This window comes from Homo sapiens, chromosome 1, assembly GCF_000001405.40.
Source record: "Homo sapiens chromosome 1, GRCh38.p14 Primary Assembly".
NCBI lineage: Eukaryota > Metazoa > Chordata > Mammalia > Primates > Hominidae > Homo > Homo sapiens.
In genome coordinates, this window is record NC_000001.11 from 210501048 (window position 1) to 210523390 (window position 22343).

General features: G+C 41.7%; 1 protein-coding gene across 18 annotated transcripts in view; it reads left to right on the forward strand.

The window, feature by feature from the left end:
* HHAT (hedgehog acyltransferase) overlaps nucleotides 1-22343 on the forward strand; it is a 348963-nt gene that overhangs the window by 173720 nt on the left and 152900 nt on the right. For all 18 annotated transcript variants that reach the window (XM_047424804.1, NM_001122834.4, NM_001170564.3 and 15 more), the window contains one exon: nucleotides 12106-12141. In XM_047424804.1, the coding sequence (XP_047280760.1) occupies nucleotides 12106-12141 (36 nt within the window). The remainder of the gene's footprint in view (nucleotides 1-12105; nucleotides 12142-22343) is intronic.

Here is a 22343-nt window from a genome sequence, read left to right on the forward strand (position 1 = left end):
TCACAGCACCTCATGCTTATCTCTTCTTTGGCATTTGTCCCTTTGTTCTGGATTCATTGCATCACTTATGTTTCCTCCACCAGACTGAATGCTGGAGGACCACACTCTGCTTTGTTCAGTTTTATTTTTCTAGCCTCTAATGCCATGCCTGGCACATAGTAGGCACTTTAAATATTCATTAAATGGATTTCTTTGCCATTCTTATTTTGGCCCATAGACTCTGTTGCCCCAACCTCTGCCCTTTGCAGATGCTTGAAATCTCCTGGCACATCTGTTTCTGTCCTATCTCCTCCCCGTTCTCCCTTTTGCCGCAGCAGCTTTGCCCTGCTTCATCGGTTGCATTGGAGTTTGGGCAGGAAAATAGAAACCACTCAAGATATTTTGGGTGGCAAGGATTAACTACAGGGAAGTGGAGGCACACAAAACTCATAGAGGGGTGGTGGAGTGGAGGGTTGGAAGGCTGTTGGAAGCTGCTGCTGCTGATCTTGGCTGCCTGCAGCACCAAAGTGGGGTCTCAAGAGTCCCTCACTGCAGAAGCAGCTAACAAAACCCATGTCTGCAATCTGCTGACGTCCACAGTCCTGTCCCCAGCTGCTCCTGGGGAAAAATGGCTTTTCTTTCTTTTTTCCCTTCAGTTCTTATGAGAGTGCCTCTCATTGGGAGAACTGAATCAGAAGTCAGCTGAAAAGGGAATCTGGAAAGTGCTAGTTCATAGGCATTTCACCTCTGAGGTACAGGCCAGTGCTTAGAAGGAAGGAATGTCCACACACAAAAACTGGCACATCAAGAACACTGCCTTGCTTCATCCGAGACCTTCTCCCTGAGCTGCCTACCCCCACCCTTTTTTTTTAAACAAAGCTCTGACCATCTTATTGGATGCCTTAATTTTGTTAATATGTGGGAACCCTCATCCTTAGTCCTATTCCAGCAATTAGCAACCCCTCTGCCTATATTTTAGGTCTCCTCTATTCTTCTTCTTTTTTTTTTTTTTTAAGTGGAATGTTATTATATTTTGCTTATCAGCGGTTCATTGTTTTTAAGAATTAAATCTTTCCGGCCAGGCACGGTGGCTCACGCCTGTAATCCCAGCAGTTTGGGAGGCCGAGGTGGGTGGATCACGAGGTCAGGAGATAGAGACCATCCTGGCTAACACAGTAAAACCCCATTTCTACTAAAAATACAAAAAATTAGCCGGGAGTGGTGGTGGGCGCCTGTAGTCCCAGCTACTTGGGAGGCTGAGGCAGGAGAATGGCATGAACCCGGGAGGCAGAGCTTGCAGTGAGGTGAGATTGCATCACTGCCCTCCAGCCTGGGCAAAAGAGCAAGACTCAGTCTCAAAAAAAAAAAAAAAAAAATCTTTCCTAGTCCAGAAATTATAAGCATAATCTTTTGAAAAGTATATCTCATTTAATTTATAGTACATATGTCATTTGAAAATCGCTGAATTTTTAGTGAGGCAATCTGAGTTTAAGTTAAAATCAGGTCCCTTATTGGCCGCATAATTGTGGGAAAATCATTGAATCATGCATTCATGCATTTACATATTTATCAGGCTTGTACTAAGTGCTAAGAGCCAGGCTCTGTTAGGTACCATTGGCTGTTAAATGCCTGTAATATACAATCCCTATTTTCCTTATAGTTTGTTAAGAAATGTTTGTGATGATGCTTTGTAAATTTAAAGTTCTACTGAAGTACTAATTATTATTTTCTTAATAGACAACAACTTATAAATTCATGTTTAGAATTACTTTAACAGAATTTATTGTAGTTATAATAGGTCAGCAAAGTGGTATCATGGTCATATTAAGGCACAACACCTGGAGTGAATCAGCCTCAATTTTTTTTTTCTTTCTTGCTGTCTATATACTCAAGATTTAATTTAGCTTATACTGTGTACTCAATATACTGTCTATATACTGAAGATATTTTTTTTTTTTTGAGACGGTCTCCCTCTGTCACCCAGGCTGGAGTGCAGTGGCACAATCCTGGCCCACTGCAACCTCCTGGGTTCAGGTGATTCTCATGCCTCAGCCTCCCGAGTAGCTAGGACTACAGGCATGTGCCATGACACCCAGCTAATTTTTGTATTTTTGGTAGAGACAGGGTTTCGCCATGTTGGCCAGGCTGGTCTCGAACTCCTGGCCTAAAGTGATTTGTCCACTTTGGCCTTCCAAAGTGCTGGGATTACAGGCATGAGCCACTATGTATTCAATATTTAATTTTACTTAGCCTGACTGCCTTGCCCATGCTCCTAGCAAGGCAGGGGTGAGGTTTAATTGTCCTACTAGAACAGGACACAGTAGGTGAGAGGTAAGTCCCCAAAGGAAGCCAGGCTTTCCCTCAGAACCAACAAGCAAACAAGCAAAACCAACAAATGCCCACATGTAACTCCTATCTACTTTTCTCTCATCTGATGACTTTGCTTTATACTCTTGAAAATTTTCTCTCCACCAAATCACTGCCATTTGCATTCATCATCTTCTAAATCTTCTGTACCTATCACCTGGTACAATGGAAGACTTTCCCCCAAATGAACAAACACCAACCTTGTTTGTTTCATCTTTGTTTGGTGACTGTGGTTCCTCTTCTCCTTCAGGACATAACTCTTCCTCATTAGAGTTATCCACACCGGGTAGTGTCCTCCTCTCCTTCTCATCCTCTCTTCACTTGGCTCTAGTCTGGCTTCCATTTCCCCCACTCAATGAAGCTACTCCTCAAAGTTGCCGGTGACCTTTCATTTGGCAAATGTGTCCAACAGACATTTTTACATGAAGAGATAAAAAGCAAGATGAATTTAGACCCTTATACACACCCCACGCAAAAAAATTAACTCAAAGTAGATCATGAACTTTAAGTGCTAAACTATGAAACTTTTAGAAGAAAACATAGAAAATTTTCAAGATCTTGGGTTAAGCAAAGATGTCTTAGATATAACACCAAAAGCATGATCCACAATAAGAAAAACATCAATCAATTGGATTTTTGAAATTCAAAACTTTTGTGCTTCAAAGACATTTTCAGAAAATGAAAAGATAAGCTATAGGTTGAGAGAAAATATTTGCAAATTACACATCCAATAAAGGACTTGTTTCCAGAATACTTACAAGGGTAGGAACTTTTCTTGTTCATTGCTGTATCCTAAGCATCTCTTGTAGCTCTATTGAGCATCTAGAAGGTACTCGATAAATATTTCCTGGATAATTATAGCATTAATATAGTTTGGAGAATACTCTGTTAGGATTCTTAATGACGTCTAAGGAGGAGAGAAAACAATCTTGAAAATTTGTAGAATGTTTTTGAAGCATTTGTACCTACTACATTTATTCCCTTTTCTGCTCTTGGTATCATTGTATCCATGCCACAGTTAAGAAAACAAGGCCATGGAGGGATTAACTTTTTGCCTGTGGTCAAATGCTGTTACGTGGTAGAGCCAGAATCCAGATCTCGAATTTCTAATTCTACATTCAGTGCATCATGATTTCCACTGCTGTTGGGGAGATGTCTTCACTCCTGAGCTGATGATGCCTGGAACTGGTGCCTTCTCACCTTTCCTTCAGCAGTGTGAAATGCCCAGATCTCAAGCTTGTGGGCCATTTTCCCAGACCCTCCTTCCTGATGATCTGATGGCAGACACACTTGTCTGATCCATAAGAGCATGTCATGTGGTAACTCAGGACTGTTTTCACCGTGTTTGTTCTGAGGAGTTTGTCCTCCCAGGGCTTGTTTTCTACTTTTCTATCAGACCTTGGTATTTCACAAAACGTGTTTGACTGCCAACTGGGATCATGCTAGTCTAAGTGTCTAAGTTTATTTTCACTTCACTTCTCACTATGTTCCCGGCGTAGCTTTTTATTCTTTTTTTTTTTTTTTTTTGAGACGGAGTCTCGCTCTGTTGCCTAGGCTGGAGTGCAGTGGTGTGATCTCAACTCCAACAACCACCTCCTGGGTTCAAGCGATTGTCCTGCCTCAGTCTCCCAAATAGCTGGGACTACAGGTGCCCACCACTACACCCGGCTAATTTTTGTATTTTTAGTAGAGACGGGGTTTCACCATGTTGGCCAGGCTGTTCTTGAACTCCTGACCTCAGGTGATACACCCGCCTCGGCCTCCCAAAGTGCTGGGATTACAGGCATGAACCACCATGCCTGGCCCAACTTTTTATTCTTGACTGTGAGCAGGTTGAGACGTAGGTTAACAGATGGAGCTGAAGATGGTATGATATGGTGCCAGTTACTATGTGATGTCATCAGGAAGCCTATTCTAAGAATTGTGCCTCAGGCATCCTTAGAAAATAAAGATGTTGCTTGAGACTGAGAGGAGGGCAGCATTGGGACACTTTGAACAAAAAGCTGGGGTCTAGGGGGCCTGGTCGATCAGCCTCAGCTCTGCTGTTTGTTGTATTTCAATTATTTCATATTCCTTATTCTCTGCTTCCGAATTAGTCAAGTGAGGAGGAGGTTAGGGCAGATACACTTTCAGGTCTTGTCTGCTCTCCAAAATTGGGTTAGGTAGGCCAGCTGAACTAATCAGGGCTTCTTGAGTCTAGGTATAAACTTTATCACCCTAGCGATGTGCTTTGGTTTTTGCCCCCAGCTGTGCAAATTAGTTCTCAAACTTCCCAGACAGGAATGTAAAGGCTGAACTCAGGCAGCCTATTAATAGGCTAAACAAGCGTAGTGATAAAAGACTGAAGTTTGCAAATGGGAGAGGTGGAGGCAAGGATTGACAGCTAAATTTTGGTACATTGTCTACATGCTGCCCTGCCTGTGTCATGCTAAGTGGCCATGACAACAGTGGTTCTAAAACATACCTCAGTTGTATGGTATTTGCCACTCCTGGCCATAGTCTGTTGCTGTTTTTATCCCTAGCTTCCACCCAGCCGAGATTAGTCTGGGAGGAAGGACAGTACCCCAAAGGGCAGGCAGCCTGTTAGAGCAGAACAAGTCCTGGAACTGGCCATGGGTTCTGGTCTGAGTTCTGCCATGGACACGGTGTGTGGGCCCCACCCCTCCTCCGTCAAAGAAGCAGTTCTAAGCTAGGTGATATACAAACCTCTGTGCTCTGTGAGTAAGCATATGGGCAGCACCACTTTGTCAGGCCCAACAAGCCTAATTTTGATGCACTGTGAGGCTCTAATGAGTACAGCAGTCATAATCATCATAAATAAACTGCCAGGGCTGCCCTGGATGTGTTAGCCCGGGCACAGTCTACTAATTTGCTAATGGTAATCAGACAGGAGCTGCTGCTGTGGGAGGGAGCATTCATACTTAGAGATGCTGCCTGAAAGTGCCTGAAACACGAACTTGGAAACTTGAGGCTTAAAGGAATCTTAAAGGTCATCCATTCCAGTTTTTTTATCTCAAGCTGAAATCTGCCTCCCCATGGCTGCTATCAGTTGATGTGCAGACAGCAAAACTTGCATATCATACACACAAGATTTTCTGTTTTTAATTTCTGGAAGGAGCTAAGAATAATATGTACAGGATCCGTGTTCCTTATGTCTCCTCATGAGGAAACCCTGGTTTTCTGTGGGCTGGTTAGTTGTGAGACTATTTCCTTAAAAGGTGATAAGAATGATTGTGCTATAGTTTGATCACTATCTTATTTCAGAAGAGAACCCCTATTTTTATCTGTGGGTATTTATTTTATGTACTTACATAAAATAATCAGTGTATTAAATAACTACTTTTTAGCCTCTTCTATGTGCAGTGTATGATGCTAAGTGCCAGAGCAGACAGAAGCATTGGTACCTTATTACAGGCCTATCATTCACACATTGCTTCACTCAACGACATTTATTGCTTTCCGGAAGGCTCTGGTTCTTGCCCTTATGAAGTTTTTGGTCTGTTGTGGGAGAGAATGATTGATTAGTTATCAGTCACACTGCATTGAAATTATTGTTGACTTTGCCATCCCTTTAGGCTCTATTCTCCCTGAAGCAGAGGTTATGTGCTGTGCATTACTGAATTTCCAGTATCTAGCACAGAATGGGCACATAGTAAATATTTGTTAAATGAGTCTGTGGTTGAATATATGAAGGAAAAAGCACAGACATTGGTGTCTGCTCTGAGCTAGATCCTGATTCAGCATTTACTAGTCATGAGACTGGGAATAAAGACACAAGCCTTTATAAAATAGGACCTATTTCACAGGGTTGTGGTGAAGATTAAAAATTGAGAATATACAGAGTGCTTAGCCCAGTGTTTGGCATATACTTCTAAGAAAACAATGTGTATTCTTTTCCTACTGTAGCTCCTTAAGGTGCTTTTTCCATCTGTATACAAAAACTAAAGAAAACATTTTTCTTTTTTCTTTTTTTTTTTTTTTTTTTGAGACGGAGTCTTGCTTTGTCGCCCAGGCTGGAGTGCAGTGGTGCAATCTCGGCTCACTGTAACCTCCGCCTCCTGGGTTCAAGTGATTCTCCTGCCTCAGCCTCCCTAGCAGCTGGGATTACAGGCACCCAACACCACGCCTGGCTAATTTTTGTATTTTTAGTAGAAACAGGGTTTCATCATTTTGGCCGGGCTGGTCTTGAACTCTTGACCTTGTGATCTACCTGCCTTGGCCTCCCAAAGTGCTGGGATTACAGGCGTGAGCTACCGCACCTGGCCATGAGAATATATTTCTAGAGTTCATTGCATTGCTAGTGTTTTGAAATTAAAGATGGCCCTACAAGGGAGGCCCCACCCCTGAACTCTTTGGAAGGAACATGAGTTAGGTTTACCATGGTAAAGAGGAAATCCATACTATACATTTCAAAATCACTGATGGAGTAAATTTCAAATATTCTAATGACAAAAAATTTGAGGTGATGGATATATTAATTAGCTTGATTTAATCATTCCACATTATGTTAAAAAATCATAGCATGGCCGGGCATGGTGGCTCATGCCTGTAATCTCAGCACTTTGGGAGGCCAAGGCGAGTTGATCACGAGGTCAGGAGATCAAGACCATTCTGGCTCACATGGTGAAACCCCATCTCTACTAAAAATACAAAAAATTAGCCAGGTATGGTGGCATGCACCTGTAATCTCAGCTGCTCGGGAGGCTGAGGCAAGAGAATTGCTTGAACCTGGGAGGTGGAGGTTGCAGCGAGCCGAGATCATGCCACTGCACTCCAGCCTGGGTGACAGAGTGAGACTCCTTCTCAAAAAAAAAAAAAAAAAAAGTCCTAGCATCACTTCGTACCCCATAAATACATACAACTATAATTTGTCACTATGTAATAATAATGATAATAGAAGAATGAACTCATGATTCTGAAGAAGCTGCAAAAGCCCGCAAATTCTGGTAACATGGAACTAGACCTCTGGTTGGGTAGACCACAGTTTTCTTTTGGATAGAGTCACTTTCTCATATGATACTTAATAAAATTATTAAGTAATGATGAAATAACATTTTTAAAATATCACATAAATTTAAATAACAGTTTATAGTTTTAAATATGTTTGGTTTATTTTTTTCTAATGGGAACAGGATGAAAAGGCATATACATTCTTTAAGCCAAACCTTTAGCGTCGTATCAAATATGTTGCCTGACTTATTGGTGGTGGAGTTGGTAAGATTAAGATAATGGCTCTTATGAAGAGCAGCTTTATGAACCACTTCATTCTTCCAGCCAGTAAGATAGCTATCACTGGTTTTATCATGTGGTCTTGATTTTCATTTTATATATGTTCACTCATTTACAGCTCAAAAACAAAATATATGAGGAAAAACTAATCCGAGTTATAGAAATTAGATTCTGATTTTAGGATGCACTGTTAATTTCTCTCTATACACAAAAAACATGAACTTGTTTGCTTTTCTTTTGCAAGGAGTGTGCTTTTTATCTTTCATTTTTAAAATGTTGAAATAATCTTAAACTCACAAACATTAGAAGCACAGTACCTATGTAACATTTTCCCCCTGAATTATTTGAGATTAGGTTGTGGACATGAAGCATCATCACTCTGAGTACTTCAGCGTATGCTTCTAAGGACACTTTCCTATGTACTAGGTTGGTGCAAAAGTAATTGTGGGTTTTGTCATTACTGTCAATGGCAAAGACCACATGCAATTACTTTTGCACCAACTGAATAACTGCAATATGCAGATTGAATATCCCTTACTTGAAATGCTGGGGACCAGAAATCAGTGTTTTGGATTTCGAGCTTTACAGATTTTGGAATATTTGCAATTATACTAGTTGAGCATCTCAAATTTAAAAATCCAAAATCTGAAGGTGCTCTCATGAGCATTTTTATGAGTGTCTCATTGGTGCTCAAAAAGTTTTAGATTTTGGAGCATTTCAGATTTCAGATTTTTGGATTTGGGATACTCAGCCCTCTAATAACAAAACTCAGGAAGTTAAGGTTGGTGCATTCCTACCATTTATTCCTCAAAACCAAGGTACTGTTCCCTGGGGGGTCTTCTGGCTAATGGAGACTGTCTGGGCTCAGGTGTTAGTTTTACCCCTAACTAACAATCACTTAACCTCTCTATGCTTCTGTTTCTTCCTCTGTGGTGCAGATGATAATAGTATCTATCTACCTCATAGGGTTATTGCAAAAATAATTGTATGTGTGTAGAATGGATGAGTGCCTGGCACATGCTAAGCACTGTGTGTGTGTGTTGGCTTTTACTATTAACATCCCCCCTTCTCCACTCTGTGTGTGCTGCACTGTGCCTGCATGGTGAGAAACTATAACCCTTTACTCTCCACTAACCTCGCCTGCCTTTCTCACATGATCCAAGGAAAGTGAGAGGCAGCATTAAATTAAAGCTTGTGTATATTCTACTCATATCTTGTAGTCATTGCAAAGGCTCTTATATTTACAGGTGATTTTTAAAAAACCTGCTCTTTGTCCCACCTCTGGAGTTAGAATTAGTTCTCAGATACATTCATCCTTTCATGCATTGGGTGTCTATACAGAATTGTCATTGGGAAGTATTTTCAAAGCCCTAAGATGTGCTTTGCAAAGGAAATCTTTCAGGGCTGTAAGAATGGATAATTTCCTGGCTATTAGTTGAATAAGAAAGACATATTTTGCCTTTCAGAGATTGTTATATTTTATAATGCAGAAATGGTTTTGAATATATTTAGTTTTTAAATTTTCAGTAGGTGGTGTGCTAAAGCTTAGTGTCCTTAGCTAGGTCTCATGTTACAAGTAGAGGAGGAGATGGGAGAGGGAATTGGTTTGGCTGGCCACCATTTCTATGAGGAAGGGCACCTGGAAATGGAAAGAAATGAATTGACTACCACATCACCCCCGGAGGCCATGGCTAGGTTGAATGAGAATGATGGTGTTGGCATGAGTTGGATGAACCTTATTTTTTAAAAACTGATAGCCATCCAGACACAAAAGCACAAATACTGTATGACTCTGCTTACGTGAACTTCCATCACTTTCCAGAGCCTGGCTAGCTGAGACGGAGGAGGTGGGCGGCACCTGGGGAGAAGCAGGTGGGCTTCCCTGGAGCAGGGCAGCCATGCTGGGAGAAGCAGAAATGAGGTGGAAGTGGGAAGACATCAGCTTTTAACATGAACCATCATTTTCAATTAGTAATAATGAAAGGCAGTGAGAACCCTGCTTTTAGCAGGGTGCTTGGGAAGAGCAAGTAATTCGTGCATTTTAGGGTTCAGTTTGATTTCCAGCTTTTTTTCTACTGGCTGTCAGCTCTGGGCATACCAGTACCTGCCTCACCAGCATGTATATGTGAGCACAAAACATAGTACTTGCCACATTCTAAACAATAAATATAATTTCTCATTATTAGGTTTTTCATTACTGTTTCAGTGCCTTCCTCTGACCCCACTATATACTGCGGATCTCTGTGATTTCTTCCATGTCTGCTTTGTCCTGTGATTCCCGGAATAGAGTCTGTTGGTCTCTGTCGCTAATGTAATTGAAAAGGCTCTACAAGCTTTGGATGAGTGAAGGAAGCTGAAATCTTTGTTTTAATCTACACATACTTCTACCTCCCATATTATAGATCTGGCAACCTTAAAATTGCTGTCTGTGGTGTGGATATTTATTTATGGGGCTGAACAAAGTAGCCTTGGTTTTGGTTGAGAGAAGAGATCATTTCTATTTTTAAAAAATTTGTGTTAAATATAATTTTAGGAAGAACTTAGCATCTTATCCAGGTCAATGTAAAATCAAATGAAACACATCAGCTCTCCCTACAGGTAGATCTCTCCTTAGAGAAGAGCTCTGTGCAGAAGACTTATGAATAAGTGGAATTTATATATCTCGAATCCCGTTTTTCCTGAATTATGTAATTATTTTAGGTCAGTGATGTAGTAAATGAGGTCTGTCATGTTTTGGCTTTGAGTTTCTTTATTCTCACCTATGCTGTGTCCATTGTCTGTAAAGAGATACTTAAGCACATAAAATAATCTTGTCATTTAAAGGTGTCCCACAGGGAATCTTAGTGTCAGTAATCACCTGTCATATGTCAGGTGGCGAGGTACCAGGCATGATGGGATGTTCCAGGGATGAGTCAAGGGTGTCGCCGGAAGCTAGGGACAGGCAGGGTCTGGACAGGCGTCAGACCCCCCCTCGAGGGTGAATTCCTGTGTCCATTACCTCTTGTCTGAAAGGGACAGAATTAACTCAGGCCCTACTCAGTCAGATGGCCAACCCAAGAGGCGAGACTGGTGGGTGGGATGCAACCACCACCCGTTAGGTGTTGGGAGCAGTGATTCTGCCTGGGGGACTATATCATCATGATTCTGGCCGCCTGGTCTTTTTTTTTTTTTTTTTTTTTTTTTTTGAGATGGAGTCTCACTCTGTCGCCCAGGCTGGAGTGCAGTGGTGTGATCTCGGCTCACTGAAAGCTCCGCCTCCTGGGTTCACGCCATTCTCCTGCTTCAGCCTCCTGACTAAGTGAGACTTCACTGGCCACCTGGTCTTCTTACTCACAGTCCGACCCAAAGGGAGAGAAGGGCACTGGCTACATGATCAGAGGTTCAGGAGGAACAAGCATGCTAGTTAGAGAAACCAAGGCAGTGTCGTTTATATGGACTGTACCAGTTTCGTGGTGTCAGGAAAAGGCTGTGACTTAAAGGGTCTGCCATAGCCCAGCGCTATGGGATGCCTGGTGTGAGCCTCAAGCACAAAGTCAGGCTCCCCAGCTAGCGCATGGAGTTGCAGCTCTTCAAATCCCCTGCTCAGGGCAGACCCAGAGATGGGACAGGGTTGTTCTCTCAGGTGGAAAGCTCCAGGACTACAACTAGGTGGGGCTTGGAAGGCCAAGGTTGACCCTCCACTCACTGCCACACCAGCCTCTCCCTGCCCCACCCCCCCTCACCTGCTTCCCTTTGGCTAGTGTGGTGTTGGGCTTTTGAAACATATTTCGGGCTGAGTGCGGTGGCTCACACCTGTAATCCCAGCACTTTGGGAGGCTGAGGTGGGAGGATTGCTTGAGCCCATGAGTTTGAGACAACCCTGGGTAATATAGACTATGTCTCTACTAAAAAAATTAAATATTAGCCAGGCGTGGTGATGCACACCTGTAGTCACAGCTACTCTGGGGGCTGAGGTGGGAGGATTGGTTTAACCCAGGGGGTTGAGGCTGCAGTAAATGTGATCGCACCGCTGCACTTCAGCCTGGGTGACAAAGGAAGACCTTGTCTCAAAAAAAAAAAAAAAAAAAACCCATATATATGTGTGTGTGTGTATATACATATATATATTTTAAGTGAACATCTGAGACACGAATATTACAAACGGACTCATATATTGGAAAAGTGGAAGGTACCTGGGAGATCTCCTCTCATGGCCTATATTTCTAGAGAGAGCTTACACTTGCTGAGACACTTACGCTACTAGAGAGCAGTGTTTCTGCACCAGAATCTCCTGGAGAGCTTGTTAAGTTTAATTGCCGGGCTCCTTCCCCAGAATTTTGGAATTGGTATGTCTGAGGTGGGGCCTGAGAAGCTGCGATTCCAACAAGTTCCCAGGAATGCTGCTGCTCCAGCAGCCACATCTTGAGAACTACTGTGGTAGAGCAATCCATTTAGTCATACTATGAATTTAAATTATAAATATAGTTGTCTAGTCTACCATTACTATAAATATCTTTTATTGATATGCTTGTCTATGTCTCTTTTGAACAGGTATTTTGATGTTGGACTGCATAATTTCTTAATCAGGTAAGCCAATAATTTTTATTTTAGATAACATTGAATAACATGTCTATTATGAAAGATTGAAATGGAAAATCTTTGTTAAGTATCTTGATAAATAATGGCACTTATATATATACTTGTCAAGAAAACATTGCTAACACTATGGTTTTTTCTGTTTCCCAGAATCACACGATTAAACAATTAAAGAAATCAATGTTTAAAGAGGCTTATTTCTGAAGTGATAGTTACCTAAGATCTTGACAAGTATAATTCCAACTACTAGGCTGCTGGGAAAACTAATTGAAAAATTAGGAGTGCCAGCTTGTATTCAGACGTTAAACAACCCCCTTAACCAATTTTCCCTCCACTGAATTTAATCTTTTTAAGTGGAATCTTCCAGTTGCTTTATAGTTGTGAAGATACAACCTTGTTCATAATTGAAAGAGATTACAGATGGCAGTTTATATCCTAGTTTATTAATGATTTTTACCAGAGTTGGCTTATGGGACATATTAATTTCAAATAGCTGTTAAATGTAACAGAGGTTAAATGGAAATAGACCAGCATATTAATCATAGTTTTAAGAATATGCATATTTTGTCTGCTATCAACTTTGCTGTGTTTTCTAAATGTATTAATATTGAGCATGTATTACTCTAATACTGGTAAATAATGATCGTTAAAATGCTTGTCAGAAATATTGAGGGAAGCAGAAATGGTTGCCGAAAGACTGCAAGCTAAAGATGACAAGGAAACCAGAAATTATGTAGAGCGATTTGCTTTCTGCAGGTATGCATCTCTAAATGCTAGTTAATTCTGACTAATAGCCTGATAATGAACAGTCTGTAGACTCCATGTGATTTTTGGGTAAGTGTTATGGTGGTTCTTTTCTGTACAATGCATGGCCATCTCCCTATTGGTAAGATGCTCTTTGAGAGGAAGTGTACATAATTGACATCACCTTTATCCCCACCAAAAACCACATTTCCTCCACACTGGATATGGTGATGTTCCGAGTGAGGCCATGCATACCTTGTCCTCTTTGACCTCTTTTCCAAGGCTCATCCAAGTCTGCACAATGAAATCTCCTCGGCCTCCCCCATACTCAAGGAATAAGGATGGTCCTGGCTTTCTCCAGGATCCAGACACAGATAGTAGTGTGTGAACTGCTATCTTCGACACAGCAAGGATAAATACATTTTAGCAGGAGGGACAAAGAACCAGCAGTCATGGGAAAGCAGGCATGAACATTCCATATTTGAACTGATCAGAAGAATCTGTCTGGATGTATTAATACTTCAGGGAGTAGTTCGAGTTTTTTATTTAATGTCTTTGGTGCTTTGTACAACTCCCATTGTACTGTTCCCTTAATGCCTTGTAGTGGATGCAAGTTTGTACTCTTCTTATTTTTTCTAGTAAATTTATTGAGGTCAGCGATCATGTCTTAGTCACCTATCAATGATTAGATTCAGAAACTTGTATAGGATCAACCTTCAACAAACATTAGGGCTAGGAGGGAATGAATGAGATGAGACAGAAAGGACAAGGGGGGTGAGGCAGGTTGAGAAAAAGCTGTACAGTCATTTATTCAGCAAATAACTTAAGCCTACCATGTCCACTTACTTGGATATGTCTGGGAATGCTGTCACTTGCAAAAACAGACATTTGATTTGAAGCTTTCCATGTGTTTATCCCTTGCCAGGCCTGTAGTTAGAGAGAGCAGTGGTCTGCCTTTGCGATCCCTCTTCTCTTTCCTTCTGGGCTCCAACCATTCCTCCTATGTTGGGTCTGGAGGAAGGAGAGGCAGTGGTCAAGTGTCTCTAATGTGACTGAGACTGGTATCCCCTTGCTCTGGCAGGAGGCCCTTTTGGGCAGGTGCTGGAAGATGCTCTAACTGGTCACCTTAACCAGTGTTCTGTGAAGCAAGCAGAACTGGGAGGGTAAGGCTTCTCTCTACCTTGCTGTGCTGTATTCTGTGTTTCCTTTCCCTCATTCAGGTAGGGGGCAGAGTAAATCAGCAGGTTTATTGCTTATCCAACTGGGGAATGAGAAGTCAGTTTTGCAGGCATCCCTAGCCTCTGGGAGTAGATCTCTTCCTCTCCCATCACATGACAGTGCGCCCCAACAAGCAAACAACTTAATGACTCCAAGGAGTCCCTTCATCTTTCCTCTTCCCAGCTTGGGAGTAAGGGGTAGGGGTGTTAAAGATGGTGGCTGGGAGCAGAGTCAGTTCTCCATCTCACAGTAATCCCAGAATGGGGTGGATCTCACCTCTTTATTTGTAGCTCTCTTCAGAAAGTGAGTATTTTCAGGCCAGGCACGGTGGCTCACGCCTGTAATCCCAGCACTTTGGGAGGCTGAGGCAGGTGGATCATGAGGTCAGGAGATCGAGACCATCCTGGCTAACACGGTGAAACCCTGTCTCTACTAAAAATACAAAAAAATTAGCCGGGCATGGTGGCGGGCTCCTGTAGTCCCAGCTACTCGGGAGGCTGAGGCAGGAGAATGGCATGAACCTGGGAGGCAGAGCTTGCAGTGAGCTGAGATTGCGCCACTGCACTCCAGCCTGGGCGATACAGCGAGACTCCGTCTCAAAAAAAAAAAAAAAAAAAAGTATTTTCAGCCAGGTGCAGTGGCTCATGCCTGTAATCCCAGCACTTTGGGAGGCCAAGGCAGGCAGATCACTTGAAGCCAGGAATTCAAGGCCAGCCTGGGCAATATGAAAAAAAATAGTGCCTCTACTAAAAATACAAAAATTAGCCAGGCGTGGTGACACACACCTGTAATCACAGCTACTTGGGTGGATGAGGCATGAGGATCACTTGAACCCAGAAGGCCAAAGCTGCAGTGAGCCGAGATGGGGCCACTATACTCCAGCCTGGGTGACAGAGTAAGACTCTGTCTCAAAAGAAAAAGAAAAAAAAAGGTATTTTCTGCCCCCAGCTTGGGAGGGAAGTCAAACCTGATGGGACCCAGCACCATTTATGACTGGACACCTTAGTAAGAACTGTTTCACTGGGACAGTGACCCTGAGGCTAGGTTGAAGACGGTGGGGTTAGCAGTGAGGGAATGGCAGCAGCAGCTCCTTTAAGAAGATAAGCTGTGAAGGGGAAGAAAGAAAGACAGGGCAGCTGGTGGAGAGGGCGGGTGGAGTGGATATTTTTTTCTTTTTAATGGGATGAACTCTTGTATTTAGCCACCAGAAGGTCTTAAGTGTCCTTTAGACTTAGAGAAAGCAGTTTCATTTAGGTGGAGAGAAGTAGAGCCTGATTCCTAGGGGGAGTGAGTGGTCCCTTAGTAACCTCAGACAGCAATGGCATTTTCTTGTAAATATGTCATTAGAGAAAACCTTAGAGGGTTGGAAGAGTGAGAGGGATGGTACTTAAGGAATCCTTCTCACTCTATAATGGACAAGAGAAGAAAATATACTTCCCTTTGTAAAAGAGCAAATGTGGGAGAAATTGTCATACGTTCCCCACACCCCCTCAAGATTAACTACATTTATTAGCTCCAACAAGCTCTTAATGTGCAGTTTGGTTTGTCAGGCTGTATTGAATGCTTAGTGTTTGGCATAAAAAAAAAAAGCTGCAGCATGCCCTGAAATTAATCAGCTGCATCTTTTAAATTGATGGAAGTCATGTCGACTTCTCTGGAATGACGTAAATTTCCACAAAGCCAAGAGCCCTATCTTTGATCTCAGACTAGGCATTTGCAAGGAGGGACATGCTTCCTTTTAAGCCTTGGAGTGCTCCACTGAGCCATGGGGGCAGGAAAGAGCTGTCACATTTAATGAAATGTGGGCACTGTTGATATTAGTGTTTTGTGATGACTGTGGGAAAATTCAGTGAGCCCAGTCCTGCATCTTATAGAAATCATAGACAGAAGCAGCAATCACAACTCACCTAGGGATGGCCTCAGAAGAAGCCTACTGGCTGGAGTTCTTAAATGTGACACCGCACAAGAAAAGGTGACCAACCTGGGGAAAGAGATTACAGAATAAAAATCTCTGTTTCATTATAGATAACAGGGTGGCTTGTTTAAATTTAGCTTAGTTTAGCTTTGGCAAGAAAGTAAGTGATTTTGGTTTGATTCTTGCTGACTGAGGCATTTTTCTTTTATTTTTCTTTCTTCTTTTATCTTTGAATAGATATGGGGTTTTGCCATGTTTCCCAGACTGGTCTTGAACTCATGAGCTCAAGCGATCCTCCCGCAGTGCTGGGATTACAGGTGTGAGCTACTGCACCTGGCCAGCACTTTTCATCTTACTCAGAATTGTAGCCAGCACTGTCTCTTTTAAGACAAAGGTGTACATGTGGTCTCACTTATATGTGGAATTTAAAAAAATTGAACTCATGGAAACAGTAGAATGGTAGCTACCAAGGTCTGGGAGTAGGGACTGAAGAAATGTCAAGGAATACACAATTTCAGTTAGAGAGGAGAAGGAAGTTCAAGAGCTCTATTGTATCATAGGGTGACAATAGCTAATAATGATGTTTTCTTGAAAATTGCTAAGACAGGAGATTTTAGGCTTTCTCACCACAAAAAAGATAAATATAGGAAGAAATGCATGTGTTAATTAGCTTGATTTAACCATTTCACAATGTAAAAGTATTTCAAAACATGTTGTACACCATAAATATATACAATTTTTGTCAGTTAAAAAATAATATTTTAAAAACGATGAATGATACTTGTTTTGTTGCCTCCCCCACCTCTGACTGCTCCTATCTGACCTCCTCAGGTGGGGCAGTAGTTTTCAGCAGGATAACATCATGAGCAGGATAACATCATGACTTTAAAAAAAATTGACACACTGTATTTATATTTATGGGGTACAATTTGACGTTTTGATGTATCTATGTTGTATAATGATCAAATCAGGTTAGTTAGCATATTGGTCATCTCATACATTTATTATTTGTGGTGAGAACATCCAAAAGCCTCTCTTCTAACTATTTGGTAATATACAATACCTTACTGTTAACCATTGTCACTCTACTGTGCAATCGGACACCAGAACTTACTCTTCCTATCTAATTGAAACTTTGTACCCCTTTGCCAGCCTCTCCCTATCCTCCCCTCTCTACCCCCTCTATGGTAACCACTGTTTTATTCTCTGTTACTGTGTTATGAATTTTTTTAAGCTTCCACATATCAGTGAGATCATGTGGTATTTGTCTTAGTTTGTCTGGATCTTCTCAGTTAACATGACGTCCTCCAGATCAATCCACGTTGTCACAAATAACAGGATTTCATTCTTTTTTATGGCTGCATAGTATTCCATTGAGTTGCCAAAATCAAATAAAATATAGAGATGAATCTCTAAATTTAAAACATTTTATTTGGCCCCAGGCACGGTGGCTCGCACCTGTAATCCCAGCACTTTGGGAGGCTGAATCGGGTAGATCACTTGAGGCCAGGAGTTTGAGACCAGCCTGGCCAACATGGCAAAATCCCATCTCTACTGAAAATACAAATATTAGCCGGGTATGGTAGTGCACGCCTATAATCCTAGCTACTTGGGAGGCTGAGGCATGAGAATCTTTTGAACCTGGGAGGCGGAGGTTGCAGTGAGCTGAGATCATACTACTGCACTCCAGCCCTGGGTGACAGAGCAAGACACCGTCTCAAAAACAAACATTTGGGAAGCAAGAAGTTTCAATTCAGGGCATACATACAGACCAGGTGGTCTTCCGTATGTCCAGAGAACAAATAGAAAGTTGGGAGTTTTATTAGAAAGAGAAATGTTATGTATTGTTTTGAAAGAAAGCTCATTGGCACTAGAGAGGCTTTTGAGAGATGGTAAGCTCTGATTGGTGACTGATGATGGTAAATAAAACCAGTGTTAGAGTCTTGGGAGGTCATTTCAGCAGCTACTAGGTAAAACTGGTCTTAGGGTTACAGCAGTCTGTTTTAGCACCTGAGCTTGTGGAACATTTAACTCTTGGAACAGGTGCTATGTGTCCCTAGTGCTTTTCTTCCTTGGCCCCTCAACTCTGATTTAGTTGGGTATGACAAGAGTGACCCAATTTGTATAATTAACTTTCACAGTGTGTATATGCCACATTTTCTCTATCTGTGCATCTGTTGTTGGACACTTGAGTTGATTCCATCTCTTGGCTATTGTCAATAGTGCTGCAGTAAACATGGGAGTGCAGATATTTCTTCAATATACTGATGTTCTTTCCTCTGGACATATACCCAGTAGTGGGATTGCAGGATCATACAGTAGTTTGGTTCTTAATTTTTTGAGGAACCTCCAAACTGTTTTCCAAAGTGGCTGTACTAATTTACATTGTCACCAACAGTGTGCAATGTAAAGAGTTCCTTTATCTGCACATCCTTGCCAACAATTTTCTTTGCTTTTTTTTTTTTTTTTTTGAGGCAGGGTCTCCCTCTGTCACCCAGGCTGGAGTGCAGTGGCGTGATCATGGCTCACTGCAGCCTCAACCTCCTGGACTCAAGCAATCCGCCTACCTTAGCCTCCAGGTAGCTGGGGCTACAGGCATATACCACCATGCCCAGCAATTTTTTTTGTTTTTTGGTAGAGACAAGGTCCTACTGTGTTGTCCAGGCTGCTTTTGAACTCCTGAGCTCAAGCGATTCTCCTGCCTTGGCCTCCCAAAGTGATGGGGTTAAAGGTGTGAGCCACCACACTTGGCTTTTTTTTTTTTTTTTGTCTTTTTGGTAATAGCTATTCCAACTGGGGTGGGGTGGTATCTCATTGTGGTTTTGATTTGCATTTCCATGATGATGGGTGATGTTGAGTATCTTTTCATATACCTGTTGGCCATTTGTATATCTTCCTTTGAGAAATGTCTATTAAAGTCTTCAGCTCATTTTAAAACCCTTTGTTTTTTTGTTTTTTTGAGACGGAGTCTCACTCTATCACCCAGACTGGAGTGCAATGGCGTGATCTCAGCTCACTGTAACCTCTGCCTCCTGGATTCAAGTGATTCTCCTGCCTCAGCCTCCTGAGTAGCTGGGATTACAGGCACCCACCACCATGCCCTGCTAATTTTTTGTATTTTTAGTAGAGACAGGGTTTCACTGTGTTGGCCAGGCTGGTCTCGAACTCCTGACCTCGTGATCCACCCACCTCAGCCTCCCAAAGTGCTGGGATTATAGGCATGAGCCACTGCGCCTGACCCATTCTGTCTTTTAATTGGGGAATTTAATCCATTTACATTCAGGATTACTATTGATAAGTAAGGACTTACTCCTGCCATTTTGTTAATTGTTTTTCAGTGGTTTTGTAGATTTTTTTTCCTTTTTTCCTCTCACTTTTTTTCGCTCTGGTTTGGTGGTTTTCTGTGTTGCCAAGCTTTGTTTGTTTTTTATCTTTCTCATTTGTGTATCTGCTGTAATTTCTTTGTGGTTACTATGGGACTAACAAAGAGTGCTGTAGTTATAATAGAATTTTTAAAGCTGATAACAACTTAACTTTGGGCATATGACTTTTAAAGGAGTACCTGATACCATCCTCCTCCCATTGTCTCTGAAACATTAAATTTGTCAATTTATAATTTTTATTGCTCTTTAGGTTACAGATTTAAAATCAGAAAAGTATTCACCTGAATTTTGTTTTCTATATTATTTATATGTATCTCTTCAATTAATTTCAAATACATATTTTGAATAAGAATCTAGCTTTTAAAAAAATAGCAAGATAAATTTTCTTTATCGTCACTTTTCGTATTTACTCCAGAGACCATGTGTGAGTTCATCAGAGCCACTACTTTTGTCCTAAGGAGAATGTCTTGATATCCTCTCAGGACTAGTGGAAATGCAAAGTATGGAAATCATTCCACTGATACTTCTTAGGCAAATAGAACAAGGCAGTGAACCTCTGGCATGGCCCTGAAGCTATTTGAGAAGATCTCTGGAGATCTTAATGTAGTCCTTAATATAGTCCTTAGAAGATAATTTTTTTCCACAAATAGATTTTGCATATTAGAATGGTGTTCAATATAGCACATATTCAGTTCATACAAATGCCAACATTTATATGAAATAGTGTGTGCCCTTTTGAAGCATGATTTTGTTCTGATGAGAGAGAAGGTAGAACATGACAGCTGTTCACTGCTTGTAGTGTCTTTTATTCTCCTGGAGGTTGGTGCAGGTTTTCCATGAAGTCTCAAATATCTTTGAATGGCCAGAAGGGCAGCAAATTTCTGCAGTATGGGAGTTGGTGGCTTGCTGAATTCTGAAATGATTATAAATGATATTACCTGCTTTTGGGTTTTCCTTGTTGATACCCTATACCTGACCCTTTCGTAAAATTAGCCCTACAGCAGAACAGAATTATTATTTGGGCTAAAAATCATTGGCATTTTGAGTTTTGTGAATGACAGGGTAATTTTTAGCTTTCTTTATATTGGATACCACAAGTCTATCACCACATTTGCTGTAGTTAATTGTAACATTCCTGGTATTGATGAAGAAGTCTGCTCACCATCATTTGAAGTGTTTCTTGGATGGTGTGGTGTCTGAAATGTTCAAAAAATCTGCCTTGCCTCTTTAAGAAGCAAGGTGGTCAAATGAAGGATTAATTGAGGCTTACCCACTCCCTCTGAGAAGGAAGAGAGCTGGAGATGAGCCACTCTTTTTTTGGTGTCCCCTTAGGACCGTTTAGACCTTTTTGGGCTCTGAGCTGCACTGGAAACAGAAGTTAAGGAGAGAGGTGCACATTTGATCCTGGAAGTAAGACCCAGATGGTAATGGGAAGTTAATTAGCATCTGTATTCAGTCTTGCAGTTTAGAACCAGCTAAAACACATGCATGTTCTCTGTCCACCAGGAAAGAAAGATGAAGCCATTATGGATGTATTTTTAAACACAGAGGTGATAACTCAGAGGCAAAAATACTTGCTTTGTTATGTAGGATTTTAAACTTTGTATTTTGTAAGTGTAACATAAAGGTTGATTTCTGTTTAAACAGTTTTTAATAGTGATATAAAAAGTGAATGACCTTATTAAAACACTGCTTCCACCTGAGGTGAGTCTAAAGTGTGTGTCTTTGTGGCCCTAATTAGGCATTGTCGATCATCTTTTAGTGGCATCCAGAGGTGAGAAATGACACCTGGGAGGAGTCCCCAGGTATCTTTTATCCCTGCCTGATGAAAACTCATCTCCTTTGAAGTGACTGCAGTATCAGTTTCTTTTAAACTTTTCTTTGATTCCACCAGAAAGAAGCTAAGGATCTGTGTGGTGTTCTTGTACTAAAGTGTTTTAAATAAAAAGTGAAGAACATGTAAGTGAAGAGACCCGGGTAACCAAAATAGGCCCCAAAGAGGCAATTAATGAAAATTCAGGCAGGGTGCTGGAGAGAAGTCCACTGGCTCCCATGGGGCTGGGTCCCCCCTTCCATCGTTGCTCCTGCACCCAGTCATTTTCCAAATTGCACTGGCTTTGTCTTCTTAACATCTCTCACATCCACCCCTTCCTTTCTGTTTCTGGAGGAAAAGAATAAGACGCACCGTTGTCTGTGAACTGGGCTTCTTATCTCACAGAGCTGTGATGAAGTTTAATAGTATATGCTAATCACTCAGCCCTGTGCCTGGAAATGATGGAAACTCAAGGCTAGTTTTATCTCCTTGCCCCCCACCCCCCAATCCCACTATACCTCTGGAATCAGAGTAACAGGATTCGAATCCTGGCACGCTCTCTTTCTACCCATAACTTTAGATAACTCATGAAACCTTTCTAAGACCTTGACTACTTATCTGTAAATTGGAAATCACAATTTCTGGCTCAAGAAATTGCTTGCCAGGCTTGAATGGGATGAAGTGTGTCAAAAGTGTTTTAGGGGCCATAACACTCCATGCAGATGTTAGTTATTACTCTGGTCGTCATTTTCTTTCCGACCAGGTTGTCCGAGCCTCTTCCCAGTCCCCTCACCTTTCATGGCTTTTCTTTGACTTTGCTTATGGCCATCCATCAGTCTCACAGAAACCCAGCCCTGATGCTTCCCCTCCCTCCTCAGAACCAGACTTTATACAACCCCGTGTCCTGGGCCCACCACAGTGGGTCTTCAGGCTACCTTTCCATCTCATCTCACCATTATTCCCCTTGTGCCACTGCCACTTGGGACCAAATGCTGTTTTTTGCCCCTACCTCACCATCTCCTAGCATCTTTGTTCCCTATACCAGAAGTGCCTGAGCTTCTCCCATTAGTGCATATCCAAATCCCACCCATCTCAGTCCATCTCAGATGCTGCCTTCTCT